The 17,165-nt window shown below is 46.0% G+C and overlaps 1 protein-coding gene, 2 long non-coding RNA genes and 1 pseudogene across 8 annotated transcripts in view, besides 8 other annotated features; 2 read left to right on the forward strand and 2 right to left on the reverse strand.

Moving 5' to 3' along the window:
- The window catches only part of PCBP1-AS1 (PCBP1 antisense RNA 1), a 125,946-nt gene extending 125,200 nt beyond the window's left edge, over nucleotides 1–746 (reverse strand). For all 5 annotated transcript variants that reach the window (NR_183091.1, NR_183117.1, NR_183115.1 and 2 more), the window contains exon 1: nucleotides 326–746. This is a non-coding gene — a long non-coding RNA (PCBP1 antisense RNA 1). The remainder of the gene's footprint in view (nucleotides 1–325) is intronic.
- PCBP1 (poly(rC) binding protein 1) lies at nucleotides 15–1,741 on the forward strand. Its single transcript, NM_006196.4, has one exon. It carries the CDS (start codon nucleotides 282–284, stop codon nucleotides 1,350–1,352), a length of 1,071 nt encoding a protein of 356 aa, NP_006187.2. The 5' UTR covers nucleotides 15–281; the 3' UTR covers nucleotides 1,353–1,741.
- Nucleotides 42–101: a silencer, noted in NCBI's record as "silent region_11604". NCBI's record gives its function as "represses an Ori minimal core promoter by ATAC-STARR-seq in GM12878 lymphoblastoid cells {active_cell/tissue: GM12878}" and the evidence as "EXISTENCE:reporter gene assay evidence [ECO:0000049][PMID:35858748]".
- Nucleotides 437–1,081: an enhancer, noted in NCBI's record as "NANOG-H3K27ac-H3K4me1 hESC enhancer chr2:70315031-70315675 (GRCh37/hg19 assembly coordinates)". NCBI's record gives its function as "activates a minimal SCP1, AML or CMV promoter by ChIP-STARR-seq in primed H9 embryonic stem cells {active_cell/tissue: H9 hESC(primed)}" and the evidence as "EXISTENCE:reporter gene assay evidence [ECO:0000049][PMID:30033119]".
- Nucleotides 1,153–1,319: an enhancer, noted in NCBI's record as "conserved acetylation island sequence C15". NCBI's record gives its function as "activates a minimal heat-shock promoter by reporter assays in Jurkat T cells {active_cell/tissue: Jurkat}" and the evidence as "EXISTENCE:reporter gene assay evidence [ECO:0000049][PMID:17135569]".
- Nucleotides 2,128–2,177: a silencer, noted in NCBI's record as "silent region_11605". NCBI's record gives its function as "represses an Ori minimal core promoter by ATAC-STARR-seq in GM12878 lymphoblastoid cells {active_cell/tissue: GM12878}" and the evidence as "EXISTENCE:reporter gene assay evidence [ECO:0000049][PMID:35858748]".
- Nucleotides 2,268–2,357: a silencer, noted in NCBI's record as "silent region_11606". NCBI's record gives its function as "represses an Ori minimal core promoter by ATAC-STARR-seq in GM12878 lymphoblastoid cells {active_cell/tissue: GM12878}" and the evidence as "EXISTENCE:reporter gene assay evidence [ECO:0000049][PMID:35858748]".
- LOC124906022 (uncharacterized) lies at nucleotides 6,431–7,858 on the reverse strand. Of its 2 annotated transcripts, none has more exons than XR_007086868.1 (2): nucleotides 6,924–7,858; nucleotides 6,431–6,785 (listed from the first exon to the last, which is right to left on the reverse strand). It is a non-coding gene; the product is annotated as an uncharacterized LOC124906022 (long non-coding RNA). The 2 variants fall into 2 exon arrangements; XR_007086862.1 differs by having other exon boundaries at nucleotides 6,431–6,806.
- Nucleotides 7,751–7,990: an enhancer, noted in NCBI's record as "active region_15989". NCBI's record gives its function as "activates an Ori minimal core promoter by ATAC-STARR-seq in GM12878 lymphoblastoid cells {active_cell/tissue: GM12878}" and the evidence as "EXISTENCE:reporter gene assay evidence [ECO:0000049][PMID:35858748]".
- Nucleotides 8,161–8,270: an enhancer, noted in NCBI's record as "active region_15990". NCBI's record gives its function as "activates an Ori minimal core promoter by ATAC-STARR-seq in GM12878 lymphoblastoid cells {active_cell/tissue: GM12878}" and the evidence as "EXISTENCE:reporter gene assay evidence [ECO:0000049][PMID:35858748]".
- On the forward strand, nucleotides 15,035–15,624 carry MRPL36P1 (mitochondrial ribosomal protein L36 pseudogene 1; annotated as a pseudogene).
- Nucleotides 15,971–16,020: an enhancer, noted in NCBI's record as "active region_15991". NCBI's record gives its function as "activates an Ori minimal core promoter by ATAC-STARR-seq in GM12878 lymphoblastoid cells {active_cell/tissue: GM12878}" and the evidence as "EXISTENCE:reporter gene assay evidence [ECO:0000049][PMID:35858748]".

Consider the following 17,165-nt stretch of genomic DNA (forward strand, 5'->3'; position numbering starts at 1 on the left):
TTCCCGCCCCGCCCAGACCGCCGAGGCTGCCGCCGGAGTCGCCACCGCCGCGCCCTCGCCCACCCGCCCGCCCGCCGCTCCCGGCCCCGCTCGCCCCCTCCGCCGCCGCCGCCCGCCCCTGCGACTACGCTGCGGCCTCCCGCCCGCTCCCGCTCGCTCCCGCGGCCCTCGCTCGCCTCGCGCCGGCAGTTTTGGGCCTACACCTCCCCTCCCCCCGCCAGCCGCCAAAGACTTGACCACGTAACGAGCCCAACTCCCCCGAACGCCGCCCGCCGCTCGCCATGGATGCCGGTGTGACTGAAAGTGGACTAAATGTGACTCTCACCATTCGGCTTCTTATGCACGGAAAGGAAGTAGGAAGCATCATTGGGAAGAAAGGGGAGTCGGTTAAGAGGATCCGCGAGGAGAGTGGCGCGCGGATCAACATCTCGGAGGGGAATTGTCCGGAGAGAATCATCACTCTGACCGGCCCCACCAATGCCATCTTTAAGGCTTTCGCTATGATCATCGACAAGCTGGAGGAAGATATCAACAGCTCCATGACCAACAGTACCGCGGCCAGCAGGCCCCCGGTCACCCTGAGGCTGGTGGTGCCGGCCACCCAGTGCGGCTCCCTGATTGGGAAAGGCGGGTGTAAGATCAAAGAGATCCGCGAGAGTACGGGGGCGCAGGTCCAGGTGGCGGGGGATATGCTGCCCAACTCCACCGAGCGGGCCATCACCATCGCTGGCGTGCCGCAGTCTGTCACCGAGTGTGTCAAGCAGATTTGCCTGGTCATGCTGGAGACGCTCTCCCAGTCTCCGCAAGGGAGAGTCATGACCATTCCGTACCAGCCCATGCCGGCCAGCTCCCCAGTCATCTGCGCGGGCGGCCAAGATCGGTGCAGCGACGCTGCGGGCTACCCCCATGCCACCCATGACCTGGAGGGACCACCTCTAGATGCCTACTCGATTCAAGGACAACACACCATTTCTCCGCTCGATCTGGCCAAGCTGAACCAGGTGGCAAGACAACAGTCTCACTTTGCCATGATGCACGGCGGGACCGGATTCGCCGGAATTGACTCCAGCTCTCCAGAGGTGAAAGGCTATTGGGCAAGTTTGGATGCATCTACTCAAACCACCCATGAACTCACCATTCCAAATAACTTAATTGGCTGCATAATCGGGCGCCAAGGCGCCAACATTAATGAGATCCGCCAGATGTCCGGGGCCCAGATCAAAATTGCCAACCCAGTGGAAGGCTCCTCTGGTAGGCAGGTTACTATCACTGGCTCTGCTGCCAGTATTAGTCTGGCCCAGTATCTAATCAATGCCAGGCTTTCCTCTGAGAAGGGCATGGGGTGCAGCTAGAACAGTGTAGGTTCCCTCAATAACCCCTTTCTGCTGTTCTCCCATGATCCAACTGTGTAATTTCTGGTCAGTGATTCCAGGTTTTAAATAATTTGTAAGTGTTCAGTTTCTACACAACTTTATCATCCGCTAAGAATTTAAAAATCACATTCTCTGTTCAGCTGTTAATGCTGGGATCCATATTTAGTTTTATAAGCTTTTCCCTGTTTTTAGTTTTGTTTTGGGTTTTTTGGCTCATGAATTTTATTTCTGTTTGTCGATAAGAAATGTAAGAGTGGAATGTTAATAAATTTCAGTTTAGTTCTGTAATGTCAAGAATTTAAGAATTAAAAAACGGATTGGTTAAAAAATGCTTCATATTTGAAAAAGCTGGGAATTGCTGTCTTAAACTCTTTGTTGGTGCCTTTTTTTTCCCTCCCCTTTTAGCCTGAGGTGTTTGGAGGGAGGAGGGAGAAGGGTGGGCCCGTCCTTGGTATTCTCTCAAGCTCTTCTCACCTTATCGGTAAGATTCCATTCCCTCTGTGCCCCAACAAAGGAACATGGCAGGCTGGGCCTGCTTTGGGATGTTTCCAGGGACAGAGAGGTTCAAGTTCCAGAGAGAGGCCTCTGCCCATTTCTCTGGTAGAAACAAGGTTTTCTCGAGGGGAAAAGGTGTGCCCACTCAGTAGGACCTCTAAATGGCAGAGCGTCCTCTCCATCTAACCAGTTCCCCCACCCCCACCTCACAGGATAAACTTAGGAACAAAAAAATATTCTGGGGTGGGAGGAGCCTGGGGAAGGGGTGTGGGGGCAGGGAAAGGAAAGGAAGGGAGGGCAGTGGGCCGGGGAGGATTGGGGGCTTGGAGGAGGGCAACAGCTGCCGGGTGGTGGTGGGACTAGAGGGGTCTTGGTTGGGCAGCAGGGGTGGGAAGGGGGGAGGGGACGGTACCAACGAGACGCACGTGTCAAGCATGCACCTGTGGCAAGCAGCCTGTCAGAGGATGTTATTACACCTGCCAAGTGGTGTATCCAGAAACAAAAGAGGCCCAGTTTCCAATTCTTCAGCTGTGTGCAATGTTTAGAGAATCCCTATACCAGGAAATAATCCTGCCTAAATGGGTCAGTCTTCACAAGGCGGGAATGTAGACTGATGCACTGACTATAACCTAAGAATGATCTGAGTGTTAAAGATGCAGATTCCTCTGTCCCACCCCAAAACTAATCAGCTGTATTTTTAACAAACACCCCAAAGGAGTCTTAGATTTGAATGCCACTGATTGTCTTCAGTGGAGGAGGAAGATCCCGCTGTGAAGGCCGTAGCACCCTCACGCCCACGTCAGCCAATAGGACTATCCCTGACCTGATGAGAGAAGGAAAACTGCTAGGCAAAGGCAACATTAGAAACAATAGTATGAGAAAATAGAGCCTGAGATGAGGGAAAGAAGAAACAATAGTATCAGACAATAGACCAGTAGGTGCCAAAGTGGGTAGTTCAAACCCCAGGCACTATGGGAGATCACTCATGGCAAAGAGAAGTTCCTGTGGGAGGGGAGTATTATCCACAGTAAATATTCGTTGAGGCTTATTATGTGGTCACGCAGGGTTAGGCAAGCAGTCACTGAAAGGAGCCCAAATTCTGGAGTTAGACTTGCTTTCAAATTTGAGTTCTGCCTCCTATTCATGGCTTTGGACAAATTAATCTCTATAAATGAAGATGTTAAAATTAACACCTTCTGGGCTTGTGAAAATAAAATGAAAGCATGTATATAAAACAGAACAGTGCTTAGAACACAGTAAATTTCAGTGTACTCGATTATAAAAAGCCAAAAGGCCCATTTCTGGGGGCTGAGGGTTGGCCACAAAATCTGGGCAGAGAAGACAGATGATTAAAAGGTAGGAAACAAAGCAATGTGTATTAAATGAGTTGGACTGAGAGGCCAAGACAGGTGGGGAGGGAGGGGGACCTAGTGAAGACCCAGAAGTGGGTACCATGCCTTCTGGGAACAATAAGCACAAATCCAAATCAAGGCAAGAGGGGATATAAGCTTGAACCCTCAAACACCAAGCCAAATAGTCTTTGAAGAATCCCTGAAATGCTGGGTGAAGCAGTTTGAATGCCCTATGAAAAGCAGGTCTTAATACCAAAAATTAGGCCAGGTGCAGTGGCTCATGCCTGTAATACCAACACTGGGAGGCCGAGGTGGGCAGATCACTTGAGCTCAGGAGTTTGAGACCAACCTGGGCAACATGGTGAAACCTCGTCTCTACAAAAAAAAAAAAAAAAGAAAAAAAAATTAGACAAGTGTGGTGGTGTGCACCTGTAGTTCCAGCTACTTGGGAGGCTAAAGTGGGAGGATTGCCCTGCACCTGGGAGGTCGAGGCTGCAGTGGCCTGTGATCATACCAATGCACTCAGCCTGAGCGACAGAGCAAGACCCTGTCTCAAAAAAGAAAAAAGAAAGAAAAGTAGGCCTCAGACTTTCCTGAACCTCCTCCCCACTGCATCTTATACTGGGCAAAGCTGGCAATAATTTGTAAAATAATGATTTAGGCAGCAAGGCATAGGACGAATTGCTACTTGGAAAGATGAAAAGCAAGAATAGCAGTTGGCAAACTACCTCAAGGAAGAAGCAGGTTCTAATATAGGCTGGCAAGTGGTATCAATAGGAATGCAAGGAAAGGAACTAGGCAATGGCAGAGATATTGAAACTGGGTGTGGAGGCCAGAGGAAGATGTAAAAAGGGGGAGCAATGAATTCAGGCACGGTGATAGAAGTATATGCAGACAGAAATAGTCAACAAGTAGCTAGAAATAAGACTGAGGTGAAGTCAAAGCTGCATAGGAACAGAGGTAAATGAGGGGAAGGGACTAGAGATGGAGTTTTGGGGTATTTCGTTGGGTTGAAGGACCTAGTTTTCTTATTCACTGGGTACCCTAGTACCTGTCACCATACCTGACACATAGCAGGGACTCAGTAAATATTTGTAAAGTGTATATGGAAGAGGCAGCCAGTGAGGACAGAAGGAATAGTTGAAGCAGCAGGAGAGAAATCAGGAGAGTGCCCTTGAGAGAAGTCAAGGAGGAACAGTCCAGGGCTGACGGAGTGACAATAATGCTGTAAGGAGGTTATTTAACAGATTTGATTGAGCAGCTACTGTGGGCAAAGTACTCTGAACTACATCGTGCTGTTGTGGTGCGCTTGGAAGATGTCTAGTAGCTGATTATAGTTAAGAGTATGATCTGTGGTAAAGGGAGGAAGAGGAGGTGAAGGAAGCCGTAAAATTACTTAAGGCTAAATTATCACCAGCATTGAATGCCGTAACAAAGGCTTTGAGCGTCATACTGAAAATCGGTGGTCTCCAAACATTTTCTTAAAGTATAGGCCTTCCATAGCAAGTCTTTAGCATATGTCTTTATAACTTGTTTATTTATAAATTATATATGTATGCTAATCCTTATGCTTGTTTATAAGCTATATATAAGCAGAATCCTAAATATTATATACATTATAAACACAAAAGTTAAATATTACCAGTTTAAAAACAAATGAAATCTGAATCAAAGACAATTTTTTTAATTGAAATCTAAACTATTTATTTACTTATTTATTTTTGAGACAAAGTCTCTATTGCCCAGACTGGAGTGCAATGGCATAGTCTTGGCTCACTGCAACCTCTGCCTCCTGGCTTCGAACAATTCTCCTGCCTCAGCCTCCCAAGTAGCTGAGATTACAGGTGCCCACCATTACACCCAGCTAATTTTTGTATTTTTAGTAGAGACACGGTTTCACCATGTTGGCCAGGCTGGTCTTGAACTCCCAACCTCAGGTGATCAACCCACCTTGGCCTCCCAAAGTGCTGGGATTAGAGGTGTGAGCCACCACACCCGGCCTAAATTATTTAATTTATTTTGAGACAAGGTCTAACTCTGTCATCCATGTTGGAGTGCAGTGGCACAGTCACGGCTCACTGCAACCTCAACCTCCCCGACTCAGCTGATCCTCCCACCTCAGCCTCCTGGGTAGCTGGGACTACAGGCATGTGCCAACACGCCCGGCTAATTTTTGTATTTTTTTGTAGAAACAGGGCCTCACTATTTGCCCAGGCTGGTCTCAAACTCCTGGGCTCAAGCAATCCGCCCTTCTTAGCCTCCCAAAGTGCTGGAATTACACATGTGAGCCACCGCCCCTGGCCAAAATCTAAATCTTAATAGTTTTTGTTGTTGTTGTTGTTGTTGTTGTTGTTGTTGTTGTTGTTGTTGTTGAGACTGAGTCTCGCTCTGTCTCCCAGCCTGTAGTGCAGTGGCATGATAGCTCACTGCAACCTCTGCCTCCTGGGTTCAAGCGATTCTCCTGCCTCAGCCTCTTGAGTAGCTGTGATTACAGGTGCGCACCACCACGCCTGGCTAATTTTTTGTATTTTTAGTAGAGATGGGGTTTCACCACGTTGGCCAGGCTGGTCTCAAACTTCTGACCTCAGGTGATCCACCTGTCTCGGCCTCCCAAAGTGCTGGGATTACAGACGTGAACCACCACGCCCAGCCAATCTTAATAGTTTTTTTATCCTTTCTCCCCAGTCCTTTCAGACACCAAAGGAATTCTGGGGAAGACAATTTCACTGGAATGAGTATGTTTGGGGAGCAGAATTTCAGAAGAGTGATGCGGGGAAACCAGTTTGCAGGAGGAGAGGAGGGCATAGTGGGTGAGGAAATGGAGGCAAGGGTGTCCACTGCTCAAATACTTGATGGTGCAAAGGAGGAAAAGAAATAAGTCAAAAAGTTGGCCGGGCGCTGTGGCTCACGCCTGTAATCCCAGCACTTTGGAAGGCGGAGGCAGGCGGATCATGAGGTCAGGAGATCGTAGACCATCCTGGCTAACACGGTGAGACCCCGTCTCTACTAAAAATACAAAAAATTAGCTGGGCGCTGTGGCGGGCCCCTGTAGTCCCAGCTACTTGGGAGGCTGAGGCAGGAGAAGGGCGTGAACCCGGGAGGCGGAGCTTGCAGTGAGCCGAGATAGCGCCACTGCAGTCCGGCCTGGGCAAAAGAGCGAGACTCCGTCTCAAAAAAAAAAAAAAAAAATTAAGTCAAAAAGTTGAGCAGTTGAGCGGGAAAATATTGTTTTGTTTTATTGTTTTTGAAAGGAACCTCACTAACAGGAGATAATAAGGAACCAATAGTAAGCTGAACGTTAAAGATACAGGTAAGAGAAGACTATGGCTCTAGCCATAGTCTGTTGGACTGCTGGAATTTAACTCTGTCCCCTCTTCCATAGGGACTTGCATCTCAGAATTCCTCTCCTTTGTCCTTTCTCTTTGGGGCAGCTTGAGCATGTCCTGTCCTCTTCTGGATGGAGGACTGGAAATTGATGAGGCCCCTATGCAGTTGCTGATTCTTGTCACTGCCCTGTTCCTGCCTCCAGCTGTTAGGCCATAGCCACTGCCATAGTTGGGAAGAGCTGGAACAGGTTGACAAACACCTGTTGTGTCATAGCCATAGTATTTGTATCATGTGTTTAGAAGGCTGGTCTCCCCCGGTCCCCAATCCCCTCCCTTGCCCCACTCAAATATAGACACACACACATGCACACACGTACATGACCACCACGAGCTCTCCTCCAGCCAGTAGTTTGGACAGTGAATCACCACTCTTGGGTTCACCCCTAGAGCAGCTACTTACTCCCTGTGACCTGAAAAGTAAGCAGTATTTACCAAGAGCTTCAGGTTTGTGAGTTGAACCCACCTCACCCCTTGCTACTCTTGGCTACCCCAAGTGGTGAACCACATACTGTCCAGCATCCCTGGGCCTGCCACCTCCTGCCAGTGAGACAGCGCCCAGTCAGACATACAAATAGGCAGTCACAGCAAGAGAAGCCTTCCACTACCAAGTCCTCTGCTCACCTCACCTAGCCTGGCCACCTGAGGGGCCTTCCTAAAATTCAGATCTAAACACATGTGTCCCCCGATCAAAGGCCTTCAAGTCCCACCTCACCCCCATGGTCTATGAAAGAAAACCCAAACTGTTCAGCACAGTTTTCCAGGCCCTTGAACATCTGTTCCCCACCAGCCTCACCAGTGCAAGGCCTAACAAGTCTCCTGCCACTACCTTCAGCCTTCCATACAAAATAACTGGCAGTCCCCCCAAAGTCATTCTGTGTGGGCATCCTTGCCTGTGGGACATCATTGTTTCTTCACTCTTCTGATCCTGGCTGTGCTCTTCTTCCTTACCTCCCTGGGGTTCTGGGGTTCCTGTTCTTTGAGCATCAACATTCTGCAAGGAAAATCACACTGTGCTGAGAATTGGGAGACCTGAGTTCTAGTCCTGGCTCTGGCATCAGCTCACTGGGAGAGCTTGGACAAATTCCTCCCTCTTTCTGGGTCTTAGTCCTCCATCTGAGAAGACGGGATAAGTTCAGACCCATGATTCTCTGGCTGCCTTGGAAAATAAGGCTTCCTTTGTGGGCACCCATCCCAGCTTCTGCCTCCTGCCACAGGGCTGACTTCTGACACACAGGCCTTCTGTAAATACTCTAACAGAGAAAAGCGGAAGTTGACAAAAAACTGGCAGCAACAAGCCCCAGCTTGGCATTTTGGGTAACTATTCATAGGCACTTGATTGAGGAGGAAGTAGAAAGGAAGAACTGCAGTGAGATTTGCTCGGAACATCCCTGATCTATTATTGTGCCTGTCGCTTTAGACTTTTTCTTACTTATTTATTTTATTTATTTATTTTTAAGACGGGGTCATTCACTCTGTGGCCTGGGCTGGAGGACAATGGTATGATCACAGCCCACTGCAGCCTCAAACTCCTGGGCTCAACCAATCCTCCTGCTTCAGCCTCCCAAGTAGCTGGGATTATAGGCTATCACTTTAGACTTTGAGGGGAAGATGTAAGGACAGTAGAGGGGAAGAAGACAGACACTCCAGAGAAGGTTACACACGAGGAGAAGTTAATCCCTAAAAGCAGGCCCAAGCCCTCGCCCCTCCTTTCCCCTGCCCTCCTGCCCTCAAAGCAAGGGCTTTGGGAGAGGGCTTGGCTGCCCTGATTTTCCCCTATACCTTGTGTCCACTGAAGTAGGGAGATAGTAACTGTGCTGCCCTCCTTCTCCTCCCAGGGGTGGATTGTGCCTCCAAACATCTGCCACTGGGCTGAGTGAGCCTTGGTAGGGAGCTGAGACCACCGTCCTTCAGCGTCAGCAAACTCATATCATGTCAGCTAGCCACTCGAATGGTGCAAGATGCCAAACTGGTTATTCCCTGAGCAGTTCAGTCACAGTAAGGTGACTCTAAATGGACGGTCTGCACATTTTTCATCTTGTCTGTAATGACTTTTATTGCTCAATTGTTCTTTTTTATTTTTTTATTTTTTATTTTATTTATTTATTTATTTATTTATAATTTTATTTATTTATTTATTTATTTTGAGGCAGGGTGTCACCGTATCGCCCAGGCTGGAGTGCAGTGGTGTGATCTAGGCTCACTGTAACCTCCGCCTCCTAGGTTTAAGCAATCCTCCCACCTCAGCCTCCCAAGTAGTTGGGACTACAGTCATAAGGCACCACACTGGCTATTTTTTTGTATTTTTAGTAGAGACAGGGTTTTACCGTGTTGCCCAGGGTGGTCTCGAACTCCTCCAAGCGATCCACCTGCCTCAGCCTCCCAAAGTGCTAGGATTACAGGTGTAAGCCGGCGTGCCCAGCCTGCCCAATTTTTCAGTCAAGAAAACATACATGAAGCCTGGCACGGTGGCTCACACCTATACTCCCAACACTTTGGAAGGCCAAGGCAGGAGGATCAGTTGAGGCCAGGAGTTCGAGACCAGTCTGGGCAACATAGTGAAACCTTGTCTCTATTATGTTTAAAAAAAATAAAAATGTAAAGGCCAGGAACGGTGGTTTATGCCTGTAATCCCAGCACTTTGGGAGGCCAAGGCGAGATGATCAGTTGAGGCCACGAGTTCGAGACCAGTCTGGGCAACATAGTGAGACCTCATCTCTATTATATTAAAAAAAATAGGGACCAGGCATGGTGGCTCATGCCTGTAATCTCAGCACTTTGGGAGGCCGAGGCTGGCGGATCACGTGGTCAGGAAATCAAGACCATCCTGGCTAATACGGTGAAACCCTGTCTCTACTAAAAATACAAAAAATTAGCCGGGCGTGGTGGCTGGTGCCTGTAGTCCCAGCTACTCGGGAGGCTGAGGCAGGAGAATGGCGTGAACCCGTGAGGCGGAGCTTGCAGTGAGCCAAGATTGCGGCACTGCACTCCAGCCTGGGCTACAGAGCGAGACTCCGTCTCAAAAAAAAAAAAAAAAAAGTACAAAAAATTAGCCGGGGGTGGGGACGGGCGCCTGTAGTCCCAGCTACTCCGGAGGCTGAGGCAGGAGAATGGCCTGAACCCGGGAGGCGGAGCTTGCATCGCGCCACGGCACTCCAGCCTGGGCGATGAAGCGAGACTCCGCCTCAATAAATAAATAAATAAATAAATACATAAATAAATAAATAAATAAATAAAAATTTAAAGGCCAGAAATGGTGGTTCATGCCTGTAATTCCAGCACTTTGGGAAGCCAAGGCTCGGGAAGATTGCTTGAGCCCATGAGTTTGAGACTAGCCTGGGCAACATGGCAAAACGCTGTCTCTACAAAAAATACAAAAAAAAAAAAAAAAAAATAGCTGGTCTTGGTAGTGCACACCTATGGTCCCAGCTACTTGGAAGGCTGAGGTGGGAGGATCACCTGAGTCCCGGAGGTCCAGGCTGTAGTGATCCGTGACCATGTCACTGCACTCCAGCCTGGGTGACAGAGACCCTGTCTCAAAAAAAAAAAAAAAAAAAAGAAAGCAATATATGTCTTTATAGAGCATACATGAATATCTAACACATATAAAAATCCTTATTGCTATTAACATCCTCTATTCTTTGTTGTATGCATATATAAATATAATACTTTTCAATATATAGAGATGCAGTATATATATATATATATATGCGCATATATGTATAGAGAGAGAGAGAAAGTGTGTGTGTGTGTATATAAATATCCCCCTTTTTTTTTAAGACAGAGTCTCGCTCCATCACCCAGGCTGGAGTGTAGTGGTGCCATCTCGGCTCACTCCAATCTCCATCTCCTGGGTTCAGGTGATTCTCCTGCCTCAGCCTCCTGAGTAGCTGGGATTACAGGTGCCCACCACACCGCCTGGCTAATTTTTGTATTTTTAGAAGAGATAGGGTTTCACCATGTTGGTCAGGCTGGTCTCAAACTCCTGACCTCAAGTGATCTGCCCACCTCGACCTCCCAAAGTGCTGGGGTTACAGGCGTGAGCCACTGCGCCCAGCCAAATTCACCATTTTAAAGTGTACAATTTAATGGTTTTTAGTATATTCACAAGATTGTGTAATCATCATCACTCTCTCATGCCAGTCATTTTCATCACCCCAAAAAGTAACCTTTGCACCTATTACCAGTCATTTCCATCCTCCCTCACCTCCAGTCCCCACCCCCGAGTCCCTGGCAAGCACTAATCTACTTTCTGGCTCTATGGATTTGTTTATTCTGCACATTTCATATAAATAGAATTATATAATATGTGGCCTTTTGCATCTGACTGCTTTCATTTAATATAAGTTTTCAAGGTTTGTCCATGTTGTAGCATGTATCAGTACCTATTTTCTTCTTTTTTTTTTTTGAGACGGAGTCTCGCTCTGTCACCAAGGCTGGAGTGCAGTGGCACGATCTCAGCTCACTGCAACCTCTGCCTCCCAGGTTCACACCATTCTCCTGCCTCAGCCTCCTGAGTAGCTGGGACTACAGGTGCCAGCCACCATGGCTGGCCTAATGTTTTGTATTTATTTATTTTTTTAGTAGAGATGGGGTTTCACCGTGTTAACCAGGATCGTCTCGATCTCCTGACCTCGTGATCCGCCCGCCTCGGCCTCCCAAAGTGCTGGGATTACAGGCGTGAGCCACCGCACCCAGCCTTCTTTTCTTTTAATGGTTGAATATATTCATATTCAAGTGTGATATGGTCATACAATATATGGTATCACATGACCATATGACATTTTATTTAGCCATTCATTAGTTGCTGGACATTTGTATTGTTTCCACTTCCTGACTATTATGAATAATGCTATGGTGAACATTGAACATTTGTGTACAAGTTTTGTATGGACATATGTTTTCATTTCTTTGGAGTATATACCTATCAGTGGAATTACTGGGTTATGTGGTAACTCTATGTTTAACTTTTTGAGGACTGCCAAATTTTTTTCACAGTGGCTCTATCATTTTACATTCCCACCAGCAGTATATGAGGGTTCTAATATTTCTACATTCTTGCCAACACTTTTTTTTCTTTTTTTGGGATAGGGTCTCACTCCTGTTGCTCAGGCTGGAGTGCAGTGGTGCGACCTCTGCTCACTGCAGCCTCAACTTCCCGAGCTCAGGTGATCCTCCCACCTCAGCCTCCCAAGTAGCTGAGACTACAGGCACGCGGCACCACACCTGGCTAATTTTTTGTATTTTTAGTAAAGATAAGGTTTTGCCACATTGCCCAGGCTGGTCTCAAACTATCTGCCTGCCTGCCTTAGTCTCCCAAAGTGCTGGGATTACAAGCTTGAGCCACTGCACCTGGCCACTTTTTTTTTTTTCTTTTTTTTACTGTAGCCATCCTAGTGGGTGTAAAGTGACACCTCATTGTGGTTTTGACCTGCATTTCCCTAATTGAGTATCTTTCCATTTGCTTATTGGCTGTTTATATATCTTCTTTGGAGAAACATTTATTAAAATCCTCCCCAACCTGGGCAACATAGTGAAAACCCATCTCTATTAAAAATTAAAAAATTAAAAATTAAAAAAATTTAGCCAGGTGCCATGGTGTGCGCCTGTGGTCCCAGCTACTCGGGAGGCTGAGGCAGGAGAATTGCTTGAACCCGGGAAGTGGAGGTTTCAGTGAGCCGAGATCACGCTATCACAATTCCAGCCTGGGTGACAGAGCGAGAATCCATCTCAAAACAACAAAATAAAATAAAATCCTTTGCCCATTTAAAAAATTAAGTTGTCTTTTTATTATTGCGTTGTAAGAGTTCTATATATATTCTATATACTAGAACCTTATTAGATATATAATTTGTAAATATTTTCTCCCGTTCTGTGAGTTGTCATAACTTTCTTAATAATGTCCTTTGAAGCACAAAAGTTTTTAATTTTGATGAAGACCAATTTTTTCTTTCTGTTTTTTTGGTTGTGGTTGCTTGTGCTTTTATTGTCATATGTAAGAAACCATTCCCTAATCTAAGGTCACGAAGATTTATACTCATGTTTTCTTCTATGAGTTTTATAGTGTAAGAACTAGAACTATAAAAATCTTAGAAGAAAACAAAAATATAAATCTTCATGACCTCGGATTTAGGTCTTTGACTCATTTTATGTTAATTTTTGTATATGGTGTAAGATTCCAGATTTGTTCTGTTGCATATGGATATCCAGTTGTTCCAACATTGTTTGTTGAAAAGACTATTCTTTCATTATTTTATATTTTTTTCCTATTTTTTACCTTAATAAATTGTGAACATTTTCACTACAATAAATACTACAATTTTGTGCGTTTTTTTTTTAGCCATATGTTATTTTTTTAACCTCTCTCCTATTTAATGCATATTTGTTTGTACATTTTGCTGTCTTTCTTTCTTTTTCTTTTCTTTTTTTTTTTTTTTGAGACAGAGTTTCGCTCTGTCGCCCAGGCTGGAGTGCAGTGGCACGATATCAGCTCAGTTCAAGTGATTCTTATGCCTCAGCCTCTCCGGTAGCTGGGGCTACAGGCACCCGCCACAGCGCTCAGGTAATTTTTGTATTTTTAGGAGAAATGAGGTTTCTTCATGTTGGCCAGGCTGGTCTGGAACTCCAGAACAGACAACGGAGGCCGGGCGCGGTGGCTCACGCCTGTAAGTAATCCCAGCATTTTGGGAGGCCGAGACGGGCGGATCACTTGAGGTCAGAAGTTCCAGACCAGCCTGGCCAACATGGTGAAACCCCGTCTCTCCTAAAAATACAGAAGAGTAGCTGGGCGCGGTGGCGGGTGCCTGTAGTCCCAGCTATCGGGGAGGCTGAGGTGGGAGAATCGCTTGAACCCGGAAGGCAGAGGTTGCAGTGAGCCGAGATCGCACCATTGCACATCAGCCTGGGGGACAGAGCGAGACTCCATCTCAAAAACAAAAGAACAAAATCAAATTATTCAAAAGAGGAAAGCCTTGATTTAAGGGCAGCTCCATTTCCAAGGCTTTTCATGCACATTATCACTTTGCTATAGAACAGCAGTTCTCAAACTTTTTGATCTTATCCCTTTACACTCTTAAAAATTACTCAGTTTGGCCGATGTGGTGGCTCACGCCTATAATCCCAGCACTTTGGGAGGTCATGGAGGAAGGATCACTTGAGCCCGGAAGCTCATAGACAATCCTGGCCTGGGCAACATGGCAAAGCCTCTTCTCTACAAAAAATACGAAAGTTAGCCAGGTATAGTGCCTAGTGCCTGTGGTCACAGCCACTCGGGAGGCTGAGGTGGGAGGATAACTTGAGCCCATGAGGCCGCAGTGAGCCATGATCGCACCACTGCACTCCAGCCTGGGCAACAGAGTGAGACCCTGTTGCAAAAAAAAAAAATTGAGATTCCTAAAAAGCATTTTTGTTATGTGGTTAACCATCTCACAAAATAAAGCATATAAACATTTTAAATGTTTACATATTAATTATTTTACAAATAACTATAATAAACCCATTAAATGCTAACATAAGTTGATATTTTTTATTAAAAATAACTATTTTCCAGCCGGGCGCGGTGGCTCACGCCTGTAATCCCAGCACTTTGGGCGGCCGAGGCAGGCGGATCACCTGAGGTCGGGAGTTCAAGACCAGCCTGACCAACATGGAGAAACCTCGTCTCTACTAAAATTACAAAATTAGACGGGCGTGGTGACGCATGCCTGTAATCCCAGCTGCTCGGGAGGCTGAGGCAGGAGAATTGCTTGAACTCGGTAGGCGGAGGTTGCAGTGAGCCGAGATGGCGCCATTGCACTCCAACCAGGGCAACGAGAGTAAACTCCATCTAAAAACAAAAACAAACAAAAAAATTTCCAAAGCAAAAAAAACTTAGTGTGAGAAACTATTTTGCACACTAAGATTTACATTTTTGGAAATCTCCTTAATGTCTGACAATAGAATACACTGTCTCCTGTTTGTTTCTGCCTTAATCACGTGATATCACAATCATCTAACCTCTGGAAAATTACATTCTGTGCCAGTGAGCAAACGAGAGTGAAAAAGGCAAACAAATTTTGTTTTGTTTTGTTTTTTTGAGATGGAGTCTTGCTCTGCCTCCTAGGCTGGAGTGCTGTGGCGCGATCTCGGCTCACTGCAACCTCTGCCTCCTAGGTTCAAGCGATTCTACCTCAGCCTCCTGAATAGCTGGGACTACAGGCGCGCACCACCGCACCCAGTTAATTTTTTTTTTTTTTTTTTTTTTTTTTTGGTATTTTTAGTAAAGACAGGGTTTCACCAGGTTGGCCAGGCTGGTCTCAAACTCCTGACCTCAGGTGATCCACCCACCTCAACCTCCCAAAGTGCTAGGATTACAGGCGTGAGCCACCACACCCAGCCACATCTTAGTATTATTATAAAAATAGTTCCGCCGCCATCTTTCTTCCTGGCAGGGGCCGACGCAGGGACCGGCGCGGGGGTGAGAGCGCGCGGCCGGATTCACCACAACATGGCAACTCTTTTTATAAGGAAAATGGTGAACCCTATGCTATATCTCAGTCGTCACACAGTGAAGCCTCGAGCCCTCTCCACATTTCTATTTGGATCCCTTCGAGGTGCAGCCCCCGTGGCTGTGGAACCCGGGGCAGAAGTGCGCTCACTTCTCTCACCCGGCCTCCTGCCCCACCTGCTGCCCGCGCTGGGGTTCAAAAACAAGACTGTCCTTAAGAAGCGCTGCAAGGACTGTTACCTGGTGAAGAGGCGGGGTCAGTGGTACGTCTACTGTAAAACCCATCCGAGGCACAAGCAGAGACAGATGTAGACCCTTTCCCTCCAGAGTCACGCACATACTCGTCATCGCGTCTCTTGGGAGAATGGTTGTATCTTATGGAAGGAATTATCACATCAAGGAGTCAGGGGAAAGTGACTGGAAGCAAACGCCCTAAAAGTTACCCATCACGTTTCAGTGTAAATGAGTAACTATAGAAGACATTGCATTATCTTATTTCCAAAATGTTCCAATTAAAAAACATTTTCCTATTAAAAAAAAGAAAATAGTTTTGACCTCTCAGACCCCTGAAAGGATCTGAGGGCGCCCTAGGGCCCCCCACCACTCTTTGAGAAATGCTACTCTACAGAAAGATTTTACCAAAGTGTACTGTCATCACTGTGCCCCTTTTTCTGTACCTTCACCAACATTGGGCATCATCTTGCTTTTTTTTTTAGCCTTTGCTGATTTGTTAAACAAAAAGCAGGATCTCTTCGTGATTTTAATTTGCATTCTGAAAGGTTCATGATTTTTGAATTTATATTTTTTCTTTTATAAACCACCTCTTTATATCCTTTGCATGTTTTCTTTCTGGGATGGGCATTTTGTCTTATTTATTATAAGAGCACTGTTGTTGTTTTTTTTTCTGGCTCTATCCCAGGCTGGAGTGCAGTGGCGCGATCTTGGCTCACTTCAACCTCCGCCTCCCAGGTTCAAACGATTCTCCTGCGTCAGCCTCCCCAGTAGCTGGGACAGGCGCCGGCCACCACGTCCGGCTAATTTTTGTAGCTCACCACTGAGAACAAGGTGACAAACATGGAGTTTATTGTACCTGTGTCAGATCAGGATTAGAAGACTGGAGACCTGTGAGTCCCCTGTTCCTCACAGGGGAGGAAGTGGCCCATCTGGGTGGGCTTCTTGGCCTCAAGCCAATGCTGTGATCCCCAGTAGGGGGCTGTCTCACTGTACCCTAAGGTGGGGCCAGTTTATACCCAAAATTTTAACAAGGGATTTGGGTATCCAAGATGTTAAAGCTTTGTTAGGGGAAAATAGGCTAAGCCCTCATGACCCATTTCTTCAGAAAAGATGTTTTAGAATAAGAAAAGGAAACTAGAATTTAACAGTCTGACAGGATATTCTTGCTAACCACAAATTTACAGAATTATAGTTTAGCCATAGAGGTCTTCTCCTTTCTCAACTTTTGCAGATCTCTCCAGTAAATGCCTCTACTGCTTGACTGCTTTCTGAAATAGGAAACCATTATAAAGTAGAATTTGTGTCCAAAGTGACTAGGCCCAGTTAGCTGGGATTTTCTCCATTTCAGTGTTGTTTCCCCCATCCTTAAGCACACTGGAGATTTTTCTCTGCCAGTTTGGCAGGTGAAAAAAATGGTATAGCATTGTTTTAATTTTCATTTCTTGGATTACTGGTGAGTAAAAAGAAATGTTATGTATCTCTCAGCTGTTTGCATTTCTCCTTTAGTGAATTGCCTATTCGTATCTTTTTCACCTTTTTCTATTGGAGTGTTCGTATTTTTCTTAATGATTGAGGATCTCGTTATACAGTAAAATATTAACGCTTCGACATATAATGCATTTTTTTAATGTGTCAGTTTTCTTTTAACTTCTGCTCTGCAGAAGTGTCTAATGATTAAGTAGCTAAATCTATCAATCTTTAACTTTATGGTTTCTGTCTTTAAAGTCAGGTTTGGAAAGTCCTTCCCTAACTTCAATAATTGTTTTTCAAAATTTCCTCTTTTTTCCTCCTAGTATTTTATATTTCCATTTTGTTATACTATTTAAATCTAAACCATCTGACA

The sequence above is a fragment of the Homo sapiens genome, chromosome 2 (assembly GCF_000001405.40).
Source record: "Homo sapiens chromosome 2, GRCh38.p14 Primary Assembly".
Taxonomy (NCBI): domain Eukaryota; kingdom Metazoa; phylum Chordata; class Mammalia; order Primates; family Hominidae; genus Homo; species Homo sapiens.